Source organism: Homo sapiens, chromosome 2, assembly GCF_000001405.40.
Source record: "Homo sapiens chromosome 2, GRCh38.p14 Primary Assembly".
In the NCBI taxonomy this organism is placed as follows: Eukaryota; Metazoa; Chordata; class Mammalia; order Primates; family Hominidae; genus Homo; species Homo sapiens.
Genome location: NC_000002.12, coordinates 154,839,165 through 154,859,291, shown reverse-complemented (window position 1 = coordinate 154,859,291; position 20,127 = coordinate 154,839,165). Strand labels below are relative to the sequence as shown.

At 35.5% G+C, this 20,127-nt stretch overlaps 1 protein-coding gene across 2 annotated transcripts in view; it reads right to left on the bottom strand.

Moving 5' to 3' along the window:
• Positions 1–937: 937 nt before the first annotated feature.
• Positions 938–20,127, bottom strand: part of KCNJ3 (potassium inwardly rectifying channel subfamily J member 3) — a 159,660-nt gene continuing 140,470 nt past the window's right edge. For both annotated transcript variants that reach the window (NM_002239.4, NM_001260508.2), the window contains one exon: positions 938–4,565. In NM_002239.4, the coding sequence (NP_002230.1) occupies positions 3,979–4,565 (587 nt within the window). In that variant the 3' untranslated portion in view covers positions 938–3,978. The remainder of the gene's footprint in view (positions 4,566–20,127) is intronic.

The following is a 20,127-nucleotide window of genomic DNA, read 5'->3' as shown; positions in this document are numbered from 1 at the left end:
AATTAAGTGGTGAAGAGTGCAAAAAGGATGAGAACACTAAAAATTAAACCCAATCATGTTTCAAAAGTTTAATACCGTTTTTTATAAAATTGAACTTGCAGTATTGAATACATGAGTTTATATTTTTGAAACTAAATGACCTTTTACACTTAAATAATTATAGATTTCATGCCAGAAAATGGAATTAGGTTGATGCTAATTTAAATATGTACAATGTAATTCAAACATAAATTCTGAAGAATGTAAGAACTAATAGAATGTAAGCCAGCTTTCCCATGATGACCCCAGTCTTCCTCCAGTAGAAATACTGTATTATGAGCCATTTTGTCCTGACAAAAAGGCTCTTTTCATAATATTTTAAGCCATATATAGATAAATTTAAAACAGCATAAGAATCTTTCAGAAATAATTAATGGTAAAATATCCTTATTTTTCATTTTGTATATATTTACAAAAGGGTATTTACATATTTCTGAAAAGAATAAATGTTTAAACTGAAGATAAGCATTACCAAAATAATTGTGTTTCTTTTATTTACACCATTTTGATAAATAGAATGAAATATCTTACTATAACAGGACCTATATCATGAAAATGCTATAAAAAAGTTCTAGTTTCCACTTGTTATGATAGTTCAATGATCACATTAGGTTTTCCTTTCCAATAGCCATGACATTGGTGGGCTGAAAATGATCTTGGCTTAAATTGACTTTTACTGTCTTTAATGTGAGCTCTTACAACTTCCAGAAATGGAAATAGCAGAGGTTAGGTTTTTATTCATTCAATAAAATGCATAACTTTTCATTACTGAGAGACATGTCACGAACATATTGAACAAATGTTACATGAAACAACTTTGGTAAGAAGTACTTCAGGCTGAAATATACGAAGCTGAGATGATTTTGCTTAGAATGATGTGTCAAAAAATCAGCAAAAGGAGAAGAAAAGCAATTCTTTATTTTTATCCAAATATATCAGACTTCATAATTTAGTTTCAACAAAAACTTCACCATATATCATCCAAACCAAGACATTGTAAGAGTGAAAGGGAGTGCTACCAATAATTACACAGGTACAACAGGTATAAACTGGAATTTTCCTGGGTAAACTGGGACCTATGATCAACCTAGAAATAAGGGTTAAACTGCAATTACATGCAGAAATCATACCTTTCCCACGCATGTGTGGAAAAGATAAAAAAAATACCATTCACTCAGATAAGGTAATTTTGACAACAGTAGCACTTTCTCATGAGATAGATTTCTGTTCACATATTATCCCCGTCCTAAGCCAGTCACATTTTCTAAAATAATCAATTTTTATTCCACACAGTTACTTTGCATTATGTTACCCTGTTTTTATTCTTTTTTTTTTTTTTTTTTTTTTTTTTTTTTTTTTTTTTTTTGATGTTGAGATGGAGTCTCGCACTGTCACCCAGGCTGGAGTGCAGTGGCAGAATCTTGGCTCACTGCAACCTCCGCCTCCCAGGTTCAAACGATTCTCCTGCCTCAGCTTCCCCAGTAGCTGGGATTACAGGTGCCTGCCACCATGCCCAGTTAATTTTTGTATTTTTAGTAGAGACGGGTTTTCACCATGTTGTCCAGGCTGGTCTCGATCTCCTGACCTCAGGTGATCCCCCAACCTCCGCCTCCCAAAGTACTGGGATTACAGGCGTGAGCCACTGAGTCAGGCCTGTTTTCATTCTCTTAACTGATACTTTGATTGTCTGAAGTGGTCTTATTTGTTTTTTGTCTCCTCCCCACTCTCCTTCTGGTATACAGTGTTCATGGTGAGCAATGGCCTTCTCTGACTTAGCCATGTCCAAATCCCCAGGAACTAAAAATGCCTACGACATAGAAGGCATGCAAAAATTTTGTTGAATGTGTGAATATACTTGGAGAGTTTGTTTTTGGTTCCGTCTTCTCCTTGGTACCAAAGACAAATTAAAATGACTCTCCAAAGTAAATTATGGCTCTATTTAGTTTTAAGTTCTTGGACTAAATGATCTATGCACTTTTTTTCCACTGCTGATAAATATACCATGCCCTGTGGACCCCCTTCTCTCTCTGTCACTATTTTGTTTCCTACATCTACAAACTAAGAAAGCTAGGTTATCAATGGGTATAGGGCAATTTGCTCCATTCACAGTGGATGCACACTCCAGATTGATCATTTTGCCAGTAAGAATTCCCTGGTATATGTTTGCACCTACAGAATTTGGTTGATACAGAGGTAGCCAGAAGGTATTATTATAGTCAATGATTTAAGTGTTGATGTATTAATTTGCCAATAATAAAATTATCACAAAATTGTTAAAAAACAGGAAATAATGAGAGCCCAAACTAGCAATTAATGACTGACATATTAATAAGAATTTTTTTTAAAGTTGGGGCAGACTGGAATTACAATACTTAAAGAAGTTTTATAGGAAAACCCATGATATTCTGTTAAGGAGCACTTTTAAATTTTCATAAAAGTCTGCATTCCAAATTTTTATTTTGAAAGTGTTCTACTGATCACTAGTTTTGATTCCTGCTAATGAGTCATAAATATCAGACTTCAGGATTAGAAAAAACAGTACTGTTAAAATTATTTGGGTAGACTAGGGATCTAAGACACCAATAAAATCAGTGTTCACCAAAAAACTGTGTGTAAGATATCTTCAATTTATCATCTAATTTTAATTTCTCTCTGGTCTGTGCAAAAACTTCCTCCTGAACTATAAGTGACAGGCATGGGATAGGTTTCCTAGGTGAGGAAAAAGTCTATCCTGTTACAACAAATGCCATAAACAAGAAAACAGAATAAAAAAGAGACTCAATTAGACATACATATTTTAAGCATAAATATTTATCATCTGTTTCATTGCATTGTCATGTCTTCTTAAAATGATTGGTTTTTAAAATGGACAAAATTTCCAGAAAAAGAAAGAAAATGTTTCCAATTTACTCAGTTTGAAACAGGGACAATTAATTGTGTAACTTCACACAGATTCTGATATATTCAATATAACTTGGCTACTGTCTATTAACATGATTCAGTGTTTGTTCAGAGCTCATCTTTGTATTAGATCATATACAAAACAGATTTCCAGATTTTAATTAGTCTAGGAAAGGAATAATTCTCAAATTAATCAACAATTATTTCTCCCCAGTACTAGCAACTTTTAAAAATCATAAGAAATGTTCAATGCTATACTGAGTACTGGTATGCTCTAAAATTTACAATTTAAACATGTAATGGTTATATTTTTGCAGGGCCATAGATAGCACAAACTTGTGTGATTCTCTCATATAAAATACAATTGAAAGCCTCCCAAGACCTTAAACAGCAGAAAACATTAAATCAGATTTTAAAATGACAAAAATTTAAGGCTAAAATATTTGGTATTAATAATTAATGCCAGTAGCCTTCCTACTCTAATAAAGTAAACATGCACAAGAACTACAACTTTGAACAAAACATCACAATTTTATCAGATATATATGTATGTATGTATGTATGTGTATGTATGTGTATATATATATGTATATGTGTGTATACATACACACACACACACAGACATATATTTAGTTTTATCGCCCTGAAAGCTATTCACTCATGTTTGGCTTAATACATATGTTAGAAATGTCAGGGAGAGTATCTCCCCTTTAAATATATATATATATTTTTTTTCCAGAATATACAATATAAATATGCCATATATAAATCATGCCATAAAACTAAATGCAAAATTTGCACATTATTGCATGCTTGATGTGATAATACATGCCCGTTAATAACTTCCTTATGATGTCCTCCCTCCGTAACTGTTGCTTTCTGCACATTCGCAATACTTGGGAAAGGAAGGGTTCTCAAATATGCTTGTAGAACTGGGAGGAAAATATACTTTCAGATTCCTTAGGGAGAATTACCTCATCGCCAAATATTGGACTATTACTAAATCAAACATTAAATAATGCCTAAGGGAGTGCTTTGTTATGTGAAGCGATCAGAGTTCATTTTTCTTAATTTGGCTGGAAGGTTCCCTTCCATCCTAGCTGCTCCTCCAGCCATCTTTTGAAGCTTTGGTGGCAAATCAGCCACAGACTGGCTCATGGGATCAGATAACATCTTGGTGGTTTTAGATACCAGTTTTTCTTCTGAGTTGCCCGGAACTGAACTTATTCGTTGAAGTTTCATGGGCAAGTCTCCCAAGCTGTAGGCTTTTTCTGAAGTTGTAGAACTCATCCTCAAGAGTTTTTTGGGAAAGTCTTCTCTTCCAGTAATTTTCTGCAGCTTAGATGGTAGTTTTGTAGTAATATCATCTAGTCCATCTAAGCATTCCACAGAATTATGTCTTTCTTTGCTGTTAGTTATGGCTGGTGCTATTAAAGGGGACGACATGAGAAGCATTTCCTCCTGCTCTTTCACACTGTAAGGTGGGGTGGGGACTTCAAATGTTGCATGGAACTGGGAGTAATCAACTTTAAAGAATCCCTCTTCTAAGGAAATTACAGGAAAAAAACGATGACCCCAAAGAACTTCATCTTCAGTATATGATGTTCGAGCTTGACAAGTCATCCCTACAAGAAAAGAGAAAATTCTTGATAAATTATGCATAGTGGAAGCACATGTAAAGCCGGTTTGGCCTAAATAATTCATTTCACTTTCTTATCTAGGTTTTGGACTGTTTATCTGAAGCCCGAATAATAGAATAGATTAAAAGTTGTACTCTAAGTTAATAGCTTTGATACATATACTTTCTTTCAACAAAAAACACAGGGTGATGATACTATTCATGTTTGAAGGATAATGCATCATTACCTAAATATTAACCACAAACCAAAAGCAAAAGTAGCATAGAATAATCTCAGAACATACATGTCCCTATAAGGAGATAAGTGGAAAAATTATGTAACAATTTTTCATTGTTTAAGAAACAGTGTCATAAATAAAACAAATCTGATTTTGAATCTAAACTTTAATATTGTGTAAACTTAGAAAATATATTTAACTGAGTATCACTTTATTCTTCTGCAGAGTAAAGCACTGTCAACAATACCTGTCTCACAACACTGCTGTGACCATGAAATAACATATACAGAAATGTAAAATTTGTCATATAATATCTACAATAAGTGACTCAATTAATGGACGCTTACCTTTTTGTCTTTACGTAGCAAAGGATTGCTATGGGGGGTGGGAGGACAAAAGGTAACTCTCCCAAGTATTTGTTAAACGAATAAAAGGTGGTAATATTTATATGCTAGAAAAAGAAAAGTCATTGTGCTGGTTCTATTCTTTTGCATCTATAAGGCCAGAATAAGCTTTTGCTCAAGTTTCAGAAATCCATATGCTAAAATCAGTGTTCTGGGCCATGTGATGTATCAAGTTCCATTCCTGCTCTAGGAATATCTGGAACTGGTTGCTGGCTATCAGATGTAAATTTTTTCAGTTTATCAATTATGTTCCTTGGATATCATTTGCCTCATGGTATTCTAATTTACTCAATTTTGTTCTCTTCATAAATCATTTATTTCGATTGTGTTACAATCAAATCAGTCAACTTGTGAATATTCATTTTGTGAAGACTGGAAGTACAGGAATAAATTAAAACCATATATCAAGTTTCTGTCTCATATTAGTCAAAAGACACAATTTTCTGTAAATAGTAAAATTCACCAATTTCTCTACTTTAATAGAAGTCTAATAGACTTCTATTAAAGGCTATTAAAATGTAAGATAATGATGAATTTTAAAAACCATCCCCTCAATAATTAAGTGTAATTTAAATAAGTGATGATAGTTTTTCTTCATTCATTTCAATTCTCCCCCATCCATTATAAGTAATTTCTATTGTTTTTAAGCCTGGCATAGTTTGAAGGAAGGGATATTCTGTCTTTTTTCTAACTGACTAGCAATCAGACATACAATACATATAGATAATTAGGATATAATGCATAAATAAGAAGCCACATTTGAATCCTTCCAAAATCTTGCCTTATGAATATTCTGTTATATATTACCAAAGAATTAGTTGTTATCACTATATACTATGTTTTTTCAAGACAGTTTTAAAATAAACTCATGTAGAAAATTAGTATCTATCATGTGGCTAGCACTGTGTTAGGTGCTCTCTCTCTTCTTCCCTCTTTTTTTTTTTTTCCATTCTAATCCTCAATATGGTCCTGTTGAGAAGATATTCTTGCATCTATTTTAAAGATAAGGAATTTAGTGCTCAGAGAGGTTAAGTCTCTTGACCTTTCTTGAGCACAGATCTAATAAGCTGTAGAGAAAAAAAGTATCATCCTATTTCTATGCGTGGGTTTTTTTTTAAATTGTTGTTATTTTACTTTGCCGTAATGTCTCTAATATTTTAGTTATGAACTCAGTTATCACTTAAACTCTGTAATGGTGCAAATCTGACTATGATCAGATATCCGTGTTTATAATCAATTTTACGTGAGGAATAGCCCCAGAAACATTTATATATAAGATAATAAATTAGTTTTAAAACATTAAGTGTAAACACACACATAGCAGCATTCTGTATTTTCTAATAACTTTCTAGCCTCTAAGTATTTCATAAGAAAAATCATAGATTATCACTTAATCAGGAAAAATAAAAAATGTATTTCCTGATATATTTACTTGGTTTTATTTTGAGAAATTTAAAGATAAAGAAAAGTATCTAGAATAAAGAATAAATATCTGATGTCATTGTTAAGATAAGAAATAGTAAAACAAATAATGTGGAAGTGCCTTATATTTTCTCCCTAAAAGCAGCCACTGTCATTCTAAGTGTCTTTCCCATCCAAGACATTAATTTAAATTTAAGAAAAAATACTATAAATATATTTTTACTAAGTGATAATACTGCCTTACAATCTATCTTTTTTATTTTTATGTTTTTCGAGATGAGATCTCACTCTGTCGCCCAGGCTGCGGTGCAGTGGCACCATCTCAGTTCATTGCAGCCTCAGCCTCCCTGGGATCAGGTGATCCTCCCACCTCAGCCTCCCAAGTGAGCTGTATTTCTTTGTAGAGACAGGGTTTTGTCATGTTACTCAGACTCATCTTGAACCCAGCCACTTTTTTAATTTTAAAAACTTCAATCATTGAAAATTGATGTCAGGCAGAATTATCCTAAGTAATGTTACGTACTCAATATAATTCAGTGTCTTAAAAAGTAAGGAAAGTTTGTAAGTTTGTCCTTTGATTAATATAAATAAATATTTACAATGAGTTAAAGTAAATTCAGGTTATGAAGTCTGTTCAATTATTTCTAACAATCACAAAGTAAATTTTGAAGTAAAATTTGATGATATCACCATCTTAGCCCATTTCATTTTGGTGGCTTTTTTTTATTTTCACATTGCGAAAATAACATTACATAAAAAATCAAAATTTTGCCCCTGCTTTTACCATTACAATTGGGAAAATAAAATCTTATAAAATTTTAATATTGGGAAAACTGGCCATCAATTATTAAGGTACTTAAAGTGCTATGACATCTACAGTGGAAACGTGTATTCAAATGTTTGTTGGCATTAAAATACTTGTAATCATTGTTACTGAAATGCCAATGCATGATTTCAACTGAAAAGGAAGGTGGAGAATCTATTTTACTAGATAAAATTAACTTTACTTATTTTCACAGCAAATTCACATAAGTGAGGCAACATCTGAAATATAATTTAAAAGTTTATGAATCTGGCTGTCAATGCCACTATTAAATAGCTTGTGAAAATTACCTAAAGCTCTCTCACCCTGTTTTCTCCTTTATCAACTAGAGATAACAACATATCTTCTCTTAGAAACCTACTGAAAGTTTGAAAGTAAAAGACATAGAACCTTGCTTGGTGTTTAGGTAATGCCTGTTAATGACTAGTGATTTATTGTTCTATAATAGTCACTTACATTTCCTGTTCTTCCTGAAAATTAGTAAGGTGCCTTAATATGTGTGATGAATTTTTACATCTTTGTAATTTATCCCATATTAGTAATATAGAATATTAAGAATTAAGTTTAAAAGTCACTGGCTATGAGATAACAATTTTTTTTTTTTCAGATGGGCTCTTGTTCTGCCACTCAGGCTGGAGTGCAGTGGTGGGATCATAGCTCACTGCAGCCTCAAACCCCTGGGCTCAAGCAATCTTCTTGCCTGTTACTCCCAAGTAGCTGGTATGACAGGTACGAGCCACCAAGTCTGGCTAATTTTCAATTTTTTGTAGAGATGGGGTCTCACAAAAGGCTGCTCTCAAATTCCTAGCCTCAAGTAATCCTCCCACCTCAGCCTCCCAAAGTGCTGGAATTACAAGTATAAGTCATTATGCCCAGCCAGTAATTTGTTTTTAAAATTGTCAGACAATTAAACATTCAAAATATTTAAAAGTATAGAAAAAAGTTACATTACTGATATTTCCAACTTTTAGGGTTTCTCAACATTTTCCACTTAACTACCCCTAATAGCAGAAGAGACTAAGTATGGATATATGGGGTGTATTAAAAGGCTTGCAGCAAGCAGAATGGCTAAAATCAATGTTAACACTATGTTAATCATGCCAAGAACATTTGCCAGCACCTTAACCTTTGTTTGTTTTTCTACTGTTCCTGTCCTACTTTCATTAGATGTAGGTACCCAAATAGCAGACATTTCCAATTCACAATCATAGTTTTAAAATCTGGTTTCATCTCAGGATATTATGAATTTGCAATCAATATATGGATAAAGATATGGAAGATTTATAAATTGGATAACAGAAAAATGTCTATGTTTGCCAATCTGCATCTTAGACAATGAACTAAGATAAGATATAATTGAGAGAGTACTTCTTTTTGCAAAAGTTATCCCAAAATGGTGATGAAAAAATAAAATGCAAATTTCAACTGAGAAGATTTAAAGTAGATATCATTATGGTTTCTAAGAACATGCATGTACCATATCATTCTTCCTTCTAGAATTAGAATGCTTTATATTTCTTATTCTAATTAGTTATTTTAAAATAATCCATGCTTAGATTCATAATTGCAAATGCCATTTGAATTAAAATAAATGCAAGTGACTACTATTATTCAAAGGGTACTATGAGATTGCACCTCTTAGCCAGCAACACAACTGTTTGCATGTTTTAACCAGATTCCAGACTTGAACAAATGTGGTGAAAATCAACACGAGCTCATCTCTGTGGAAACTGGCAAAGCAACAGATGCTGCTACTGGAAATAGCTGGGACTTTTGAATCCTTAGATAAAAAACATTTTGTAAAAAAAAAAAAAAAAAAAAAAAAAAAAAAAAAAAAGATTTATTCTGTACATTGCATTGCAATATTCACAGATTTAAAAGGGTATATATTATTGTTTAGTGTAATTTATTCCAGTATCAGTATGTCCATTTAAAATGGTAGAAGCAACATAGTCTAACCTTTTTATTTTTGACATTTTCCTTTCCTGATTCTGCCTCTAAACTGAACTAAGTCCATCCTTTTAACTGAATTAAACATTCATTCAAAGAACAGATCTGTGGAAGGTTTTAAAGTGAAAATGACAAAGTGAGTTGTTATTTGACAAGTCCTTAATTAAACTTTCAGGATATCTCTAACTCAGTTATTTTCCATTGTTTCTGCTAGCCGGGGATGGTGGATGTGTCACTCACACAAAGGGGGCACAATATGGTTAAAAACAATATAACCACAGGCCAAGGGAAATGTCTGAATGCTGTGACACAGAAAATATCACACAATCAATAACTTCTGAACATGGACGCTTTATCTAAACCTTACCCAATATAGATGTGTTTGCGGGAGATTGGGGGAGAGAAGAAAGGGAAGGAGGAAAGATAGAGGGATAGAGAGAATCAGACCCAGACAGAGAAAAAAGAGACAGGAGAGAGAGCAAAAGAGCGTTCTCCTGTAATGGTAGCTGTGGCTGTGTTTTATCACACGTACATCAAACAAAAGCAAAAACACAAAACAAAACAAAACAAAACAAAAAACAGAAGAGCAAATCCCTTTCAGTTAAGTCATGTAGTAATAATATCTCTATAGGATTATATGTCAAGTATCTCTCTAAGCACTATTTACAAGTTGTCTTTAATCCTCACAACTCTTCGAGGAAGAGACTGTTATCCCCCTTCCTATTTTCTAGAGGTGGAAACTGAGTCACAGAGGGATACAAGATAGTAGCATCACATAGAGGTGATGCAGCTGGAAATTGAACATAAGAAATCAGGCTTGAGGATTCATGCTGTTAATCTCATCTCTCTATCAAGTAGTACTGTGTAGGCAAAAGAAGAAACAAAAGAGAGTTTATCACTAGTAGTATAATTAGTGAATATTCAAATTAAAGTGTCAACTTTTGGTTACAAAAGCATCAAGTCTGTGATTCTGTGGTCAAGGGGACCAGATTTGCCACAATAAAAATCAAAGCAAGTGATGAAAGAAATGAACCTTTCTTCAGGGATGAACACCAGAGGCACTCTGCACAACTCCCTGCAGTAAGTACTGTGGTGTCAGACGACCCTGGGGCCGCATCCCAGCTCTACCACCTATGCTGTTTACCTTTGGAATGGTGCTTTGCCTCTCTGAACCTCCGTTTTTCTAATCTTGAAAATTATATTAAGAATAGTACTTATATTCTAGGATAATTGGAATAATTTTATGAGATATTGTATGCAATGTGTTTAGCAATGTCTTAATAAATATTAGTGATATTTATTGTAGCTGCTATTACATGTGGAAAAAGTATGGGAAACCAATTGATGAGTGAACTTTTAAGAATTAAAATAATGAATGAATCATCTTCCTACTGGACGGGAAAAAGAAATATTTGCTAATGTGACTGTTGGTTAAAATTGCTAATTATAAACATAAAAATAATAGTGGTGATATTAATTACATATTGAGTAATAATGTGCCAAATAGTGTGCTATATAGGTTTTATATATTTTATCTCATTATCTCATCACAGCAAAACTGTAAATAAGATTTTATTATTTTCATACTTCCAGGAGAATGATAGAGCTTGAAACTTCAAGTAACAGAGAATAAACAGCAAAGCTAAGTCCAGAACTCATACTGATTCCCAAACCTAAGCTCTTAACAAATAACTTTACTATCTAATGACTTCCTTAGTGAAGCATATTACACCAAAACATAGAATTAAAAATTAATATTATTTGTACAAATATATATAGGTGGTATATGTATATGTGTATATATATTTGAGTTGTTATTAAGTAAATTGTACACTGTTCATTTCTAGTGTGGCATCCAGATTTCTAACTACTTTCCTGAATAACAAAGCCTTTTGGTATCACTATAAGGATCTGAAGTGAAGAGATTCTATAGGACAATGCTAGCTGATATTCTGGTGTCCACAGTAAGTAAGTCATATCAGCCCTAGAGGCCAGTTGCAGAGAGGGTAAAGCATCGGTTTTAATGCCAGATGCACCTAACATCAAACACTGAATCCCAGCTCCACCAGTAATTAATATGTGACCTTACAAAAACTAATACATCTCTTTAAGCTTTAGTTTCATTATCTGTACATTAAGGCCCACCCTGCTGATTTTAAAAGAAGATTGTGAGAATTAAATGAAATTAAGTGACATATGTAAACTACATGCACAATAAATATTGATAATTTTCTCTCAGAAGAATCCTTAATAACAGGCTATATGACTACAACTTTCATTTACACAGGCACATACACAGAAGAAAAAATCCTGAAAATTTAACCAAATAACATGTTAGTTTTTTCCATAAATCTATTCTATTATTTACTTCAAATTGGCAGTTGTTTTAATAACTGAATCAGCTAACAGCTTAGCATGCAAAGCATGTTGTATATCACCAAGTAACTTCCTAGTCCACCCTACATATTGCCCTGAGGATTATTAAATGAGGACTATAGCTGTTTCTTCTCTAAGGTACTTCCAAAATTTCACCCATCTTCCAAGATATATTAACTGTAACACTAACTTGGCATTCTCTGCATGCTCTCTATTGTGTTGCACTGAGCTGAACCCAAATGTAAAGTATAAACTTTCTGAAGAAGCTTATGATTTTTTTTAATCTTTTTTATAAAACACAAAGACACTGCATACATTACAGTTCAATAATACTAAGGTTACTGGCAATAGGCTCTTTTGAGATACAGGTTGCAAAGCCATTAAGAATACATAAATTGCTTCCAGAAACTGAAGTTTTCAAAAAGATGGAATCTCTTTAAATCTCCACATATTCTGCTCAAAACAGACTTTTAGCGAGGAGTAGAAGGTTCTGGCATGCATTCAACTCAATATTATCCTCTATTATTTACAAGCACTTGGTCTTACAATGTGTTCTCAGACATCAGTTTGCCACTACTGCTCAAGCTAGGTCAAAGAATTTTAAAAAACTAAAAATAAAAAAAGAAGAAAAGCCCAGTTGTATTTGTCAGAAAATAAAGCTTCAATAAGAATTTTAGAAACAAATATTTCAAATACAATACTTAAGGTTTCTAAGCTCCCAGAACAAAAGAAGAAATAATAGATTTTTAACAATGACCAACAGAACACAATGTTAGATGTTCAAAAAGGAAGATAAGTGCAGATGCTAAAGGCTCATGGTCAGGTAGAAAACATGACAGGAAATTCACAATCATATTGCTGAAAATATATTTAGGAGAGACAGGGAAATATTAAGCAAAAGAACATGGGCTTTGAATATAAACTTGAGATTGTTCCTGTTTGGATAACTCACTGTTAGTAAGATGTTGGGCATGTTATGATTATCTGAACCTTGACTGCTATAAAATATGGGTAGTAGCACTAGATAAAATATATAATGTATATGGTTATTGTGACTACAAATGATATAACCTATTTATGGGCCTACTATATTAGCTGGTAAATAATAAAGGTTCAATCACTGATCACTATTATCAGTCATGATTATTAAGGTTCCAATTAATTAAAAGATTAGTTCAGATATATTTTAAATAATTCTTTAGTGATCATTTAATTTCTCAGAAACAGATCAATGCATAGAATAATTTTCACCATGTTAATTTCTGGCAATTTGATACAGACTATGTTGTCTATATTTATCTGGAATATGAGGAAGTATATATAATGAAGTGAGTAAAACAAACACAAGGAACTGAGCCCAGTCTACTATCACTGTCAACCTGGCCTGCTCTGAACAAATTTGACTTAACTTTGTAGTAACTACTTTCTCAAAAATATAATTGATTTATCTGCTGTGTTGACAAAGCACTACCTTTAACTCCCTATCCTATTATTACTTTAATTAGAAGCATTGCAGACTTTGCCAAATTCACTTCCTTTTTTTTTTTTCTGAGACAGAGTCTCGCTGTGACGCCCAGGCTGGAGGGCAGTGGTACGATCTTGGCTCACTGCAACCTCCACCTCCCAGGTTCAAGTGATTCTCCTGCCTCAGCCTCCCAAGTAGCTAAGACTACAGGCACATGCCACATGCCCAGTTAATTTTTGTATTTTCAGTAGAGAAAGGGTTTCACCATATTGACCAGGCTGGTCTCGAACTCCTGACCTCAAGTGATCCACCCGCCTCAGCCTCCCAAAGTGCTGGGATTACAGGCGTGAGCCACTGTACCTGGCCTAAATTCACTTTCAACTGATTATTATTCCTTTAACCTAACAGTGGAAATGTCCCAGTCTCATCAAACTTTTTTCTGCTTTCTCCTTATGGTATTTATTAAAGCATTGTTAATTATAGAATGAAAGCAATAGCTACCTAAATAAATTCATGCTGTTGCAGTAAGATACAATTTTTAGCTTTCAAAATATCTTAACTATATAACTACAATATAATATAAAACTATTGTTGAAACAGACTCCATAAGACTGGTATCGGAAAAGATATTTTTCAGGCCCGGTGTGGTGGCTCACACCTGTAATCCCAGCACTTTGGGAGGCCAAAGCAGGCGGATCACTTGAGGTCAGGAGTTCGAGACCAGCCTGAACAACATGGTAAAACCCCATTTCTACTAAAAATACAAAAATCAGCTGGGCGTGGTGGCACATGTCTCTAATCCCAGCTACTTGGGAGGCTGAGGCACCAGAATTGCTTGAACCCAAAAGGCAGAGATTGCAGTGAGCTGAGATTATGCCACTGCACTCCAGCCTGGGAGACTGAGCAGACTCTGTCTCAAAAAATATATTTTTTTCAAAAGAAAAATAGAATAAATTTCTAGCTTAAGGCATTCCAAAATGGCCAAATAGGAACAGCTCTGGTCTACAGCTCCCAATGTGATCAACGCAGAAGACAGGTGATTTCTGCATTTCCAACTGAGGTACCTGGTTCATCTCATTGGGACTGGTTGGACAGTGGGTGCAGCCCACAGAGGGCGAGCTGAAGCAGGCAGGGCAAGGCGTCGCCTCACCCAGGAAGCACAAGGGGTCTGGGGATTTCCCTTTCCTAGCCATGGGAAGCCATGGCAGACTACCTGGAAAAATGAGGCACTTCTGCCCAAATACTGTGCTTTTCCCAAGGTCTTAGCAACCAGCAGACAAGGTAATTCTCTCCCATGCCTGCCTCGGAGGGTTCCACACCCACGGAGCCTTGCTCACTGCTAGCACAGCAGTCTGAGATCAATCTGCGAGGTGGTAGCCTGGCTAGGGGAGGGGTATCCACCATTGCTGAGGCTTGAGTAGATAAACAAAGCGACCGGGAAGCTTGAACTGGGCGGAGCCCACCACAGATCAACAAGGTCCACTGCCTCTAGACTCCACCTCTGTGGGCAGGACATAGCTGAACAAAAGGCAGCAGACAACTTCTGCAGATTTAAACGTCCCTGTCTGACAGCTCTGAAGAGAGCAGTGGTTCTCCCAGCACGGCGTCTGAGCTCTGAGAATGGACAGACTACCTCCTCAAGTTGGTCCCTGTCTCCTGTGTAGCCTAACTGGGAGACATCTCCCAATAGGTGCCAACAGACACCTCACTAGGCGGTTGCCCCTCTGGGACGAAGTTTCCAGAGGAAGGATCAGGCAACAATATTTGCTGTTCTGCAGCCTCCGCTGGTGACACCCAGGCAAACAGGGTCTGGAGTGGAACTCCAGCAATCTCCAACAAACCTGCAGCTGAGGGAGCTGATTGTTAGAAGGAAAACTAACAAACAGAAAGGAATAGCATCAACATCAACAAAAAGGTCATCTACACCAAAACCCCATCTGTAGCTCACCAACATCAAAGACCAAAGGCAGATAAAACCACAAAGATGGGGAGAAACCAGAGCAGAAAAGCTGAAAATTCTAAAAATCAGAGGGCCTGTTCTCCTCCAAAGGATCGCAGCTCCTCGCCAGCAATGGAACAAAGCTGGATGGAGAACGACTTTGACGAGTTGACAGAAGTAGGCTTCAGAAGGCCGGTAATAACAAACTTCTCTGAGCTAAAGGAGGATGTTAGAACCCATAGCAAGGAAGGTAAAAACCTTGAAAAAAGAAAGATTAGACGAATGGCTAACTAGAATAAACAGTGTGGAGAAGACCTTAAAAGACCTGATGGAGCTGAAAACCATGGCATGAGAACTTCGTGACACATGCACAAGCTTCAGTAGCCGATTTGATCAAGTGGAATAAAGGGTATCAGTGATTGAAGATCAAATCAATGAAATAAAATGTGAAGACGAGGTTAGAGAAAAAAGAGTAAAAAGAAATGATCAAAGCCTCCAAGAAATATGGGATTATGTGAAAAGATCAAATCTACATTTGATTGGTGTACCTGAAAGTGATGGGGAGAATGGAACCAAGTTGGAAAACATTCTTCAGGATATTATACAGGAGAACTTCCCCAACCTAGCAAGGCAGGCCAACATTCAAATTCAGGAAATACAGAGAACACCACAAAGATACTCCTCGAGAAGAGCAACCCCAAGACACATAATTGTCAGATTCACCAAAGTTGAAATGAAGGAAAAAGTGTTAAGGGCAGCCAGAGAGAAAGGTTGAGTTACCCACAAAGGGAAGCCCAGCATACTAACAACGGATCTCTCAGCAAAAACCAAGCAAGCCAGAAGAGAGTGGAGGCCAATATTCAACATTCTCAAAGCAAAGAATTTTCAACCCAGAATTTCAGATCCAGCCAAACTAAGCTTCATAAGTGAAGGAGAAATAAAATCCTTTACAGACAAGCAAATGCTGAGAGATTTTGTCACCACCAGGCCTGCCCTACAAGAGCTCCTGAAGGAAGCACTAAACATGGAAAGAAACAACCAGTACTAGCCACTGCAAAAACATGTAAATTGTAAAGACTATCGATGCTATGAAGAAACTACATCAATTAATGGGCAAAATAAGCAGTGAACATTATAATGAGAGGATCAAATTCACACATAACAATATTAACCTTAAATGTAAATGGGCTAAATGTTCCAATTAAAAGATACAGACCGGCAAGTTGGATAAAGAGTCAAGACGCATCAGTGTGCTGTATTGAGACCCATCTCACGTGCAAAGACGCACATAGGCTCCAAATAAAGGGATGGAGGAAGATCTACCAAGCAAATGGAAAGAAAAAAAAAGCAGGTGTTGCAATCCTAGTCTCTGATAAAACAGACTTTAAACCAACAAAGATCAAAACAGACAAAGAAGGCCATTACATAATGGTAAAGGAATCAATTCAACAAGAAGAGCTAACTATCCTAAATATATATGCACCCAATACAGGAGCACTCAGATTCATAAAGCAAGTCCTTAGAGACCTAAAAAGAGACTTAGATTCCCACACAATAATAATGGGAGACTTTAACACCCCACTGTCAACATTAGACAGATCAACTAGACAGAAGGTTAACAAGGATATCCAGGACCTGAACTCAGCTCTGCAACAAGCAGACCTAATAGACATCTACAGAACTCTCCACCCCAAATAAACAGAATATACATTCTTCTCAGTACCACATCGCATTTATTCTAAAATTGACCACATAATTGGAAGTAAAGCACTCCTCAGCAAATCTACAAGAACAGAAATCACAACAAACTGTCTCTCAGACCACAGTGCAATCAAATTAGAACTCAGGATTAAGAACTCATTCAAAACTGCACAACTACATGGAAACTGAACAACTTGCTCCTGAATGACGACTGGATAAATAATCAAATGAAGGCAGAAATAAAGATGTTCTTTGAAACCAATGAGAACAAAGACACAATGTACCAGAATCTCTGGGACACATTTAAAGCAGCTTGTAGAGGGAAATTTATAGCAATAAATGCCCACAAGAGAAAGCAGGAAAGATCTAAGATCGACACCCTAACATCAGAATTAAAAGAACTAGAGAAGCAAGAGGAAACACATTCAAAAGCTAGCAGAAAGGAAGAAATAACTAAGATCAGAGCAGAACTGAAAGAGATACAGAGAGACATAAAAAAGCCTTCAAAAAAATCAATGAATCCAGGAGCTGGTTTTTTGAAAAGATCAACAAAATTGATAGACAGCTAGAAAAACTAATAAAGAAGAAAAGAGAGAAGAATCAAATAGATGCAATAAAAAATGATAAAGGGGATATCACCACCAATCCCCACAGAAATACAAACTACCATCAGAGAATACTATAAACACCTCTATGCAAAAAAACTAGAAAATCTAGAAAAAAAAATGGATAAATTCCTTGATACATACACCCTCCCAAGACTAAACCAGGAAGAAGTTGAATCTCTGAATAGACCAATAACAGGCTCTGAAATTGAGGCAATAATTAATAGCTACCAACCAAAAAAAGTCCAGGACCAGACGGATTCATAGCCAAATTCTACCAAAGGTACAAAGACGAGCTGATACCATTCCTTTTGAAACTATTCCAATCAACAGAAAAAGAGGGAATCCTCTCTAACTCATTTTATGAGGCCAACATCATCCTGATACCAAAGCCTGCCAGAGACACAACAAAAAAAGAGAATTTTAGATCAATATCCCTGATGAACATTGATGTGAAAATCCTCAATAAAATACTGGCAAACTGAATCCAGCAGCACATCAAAAAGCTTATCCACCACAATCAAGTCAGCTTCATCTGGGATGCAAGGCTGGTTCAACATATGCAAATCAATCACTGTAATCCATCACATAAACAGAACCAATGACAAAAACCACATGATTATCTCAATAAATGCAGAAACGTCCTTTAACAAAATTCAACAGCCCTTGATGTTAAAAACTCTCAATAAACTAGGTATCGATGGAATGTATCTTGAAATAATAAGAGCTATTTATGACAAACCCACAGCCAATATCATACTAAATGGGCAAAAACTGGAAGCATTCCCTTTGAAAACTGGCACCAGACAAGGATGTTCTCTCTCACCACTCCTGTTCAACATAGGGTTGGAAGTTCTGGCCAGGGCAATCAGGAAAGACAAAGAAATAAAGGGTATTCAGTTAGGAAATGAGGAAGTCAAATTGTCCCTGTTTGCAGATGACATGATCGTATATTTAGAAAACCCCATCATCTCAGCCCAAAATCTCCTTAAGCTGATAAGCAACTTCATCAAAGTCTCAGGATGCAAAAATCAATGTGCAAAAATCACAAGCATTTCTATACACTAATAACAGACCAACAAAGCCAAATCATGAGTGAACTCCCATTCACAATTGCTACAAAGAATAAAATACCTAGGAATCCAACTTACAAGGGATGTGAAGGACCTCTTCAAGGAGAACTACAAACCACTGCTCAACGAACTAAAAGAGGACACAAATAAATGGAAGAATATTCCATGCTCATGGATTGGAAGAATCAATATTGTGAAAATGGCCATACTGCCCAAAGTAATTTATAGATTAAATGCCATCCCCATCAAGCTACCAATGACTTCACAGAATTGGAAAAAACTACTTTAAAGTTCATATGGAACCAAAAAAGAGCCCACATTGCCAAGTCAATCCTAAGCCAAAAGAACAAAGCTGGAGGCATCATGCTACCTGACTTCAAAGTATACTACAAGGCTACAGTAACCAAAACAGCATGGTACTGCTACCAAAACAGAGATATAGACCAATGGAACAGAACAGAGCCCCCAGAAATAACACCACACATCTACAACCATCTGATCTTTGACAAACCTGACAAAAACAAGAAATGGGGAAGGATTCCCTATTTATTTAATAAATGGTGCTGGGAAAACTGGCTAGCCATATGTAGAAAGCTGAAACTGAATCCCTTCCTTACACCTTACATAAAAAGTAATTCAAGATGCATTAAAGACTTAAATGTTAGACCTAAAACCATAAAAACTCTAGAAGAAAACCTAGGCAATACCATTCAGGACACAGGAATGGGCAAGAACTTAATGACTAAAACACCAAAAGCAATGGCAACAAAAGCCAAAATTGACAAATGGGATCTAATTAAACTAAAGAGCTTCTGCACAGCAAAAGAAACGACCATCAGAGTGAACAGGCAACCTACAGAATGAGGAGGAAATTTTTGCAATCTTCTCACCTGGCAAAGGGCTAACATCCGGAATCTACAAAGAACTCAAACAAATTTACAAGAAAAAAAACAAACAACCCCATCAAAAAGTGGGCAAAGGATATGAACAGACACTTCTCAAAGGAAGACATTTATATGGCCAACAAACATATGAAAAAATGCTCATCATCACTGATCATCAGAGAAATGCAAATCAAAACCACAATGAGATACCATCTCATGCCAGTTAGAAGGCAATCATTAAAAAGTCAGGAAACAACAGATGCTGGAGAGGATGTGGAGAAATAGGAATGCTTTTACACTGTTGGTGGGAGTGTAAATTAGTTCAACCATTGTGGAAGACAGTGTGGCAATTTCTCAAGGATCTAGAACTAGAATTACCATTTGACCCAGCAATCCCATTACTGGGTATATACCCAAAGGATTATAAACCATGCTACTATAAAGACACACACACACATATGTTTATTGCAGCACTATTCACAATAGCAAAGACTTGGAACCAACCCAAATGTCCATCAATGATAGACTGGATTAAGAAAATGTGGCACATATATTATACAGTCATAAAAAAGGATGAGTTCATATCCTTTGCAGGGACATGGATGAAGCTAGAAACCATCATTCCCAGCAAACTATCTCAAGGACAGAAAACCAAACACCGCATGTTCTCACTCATAGGTGGAAACTG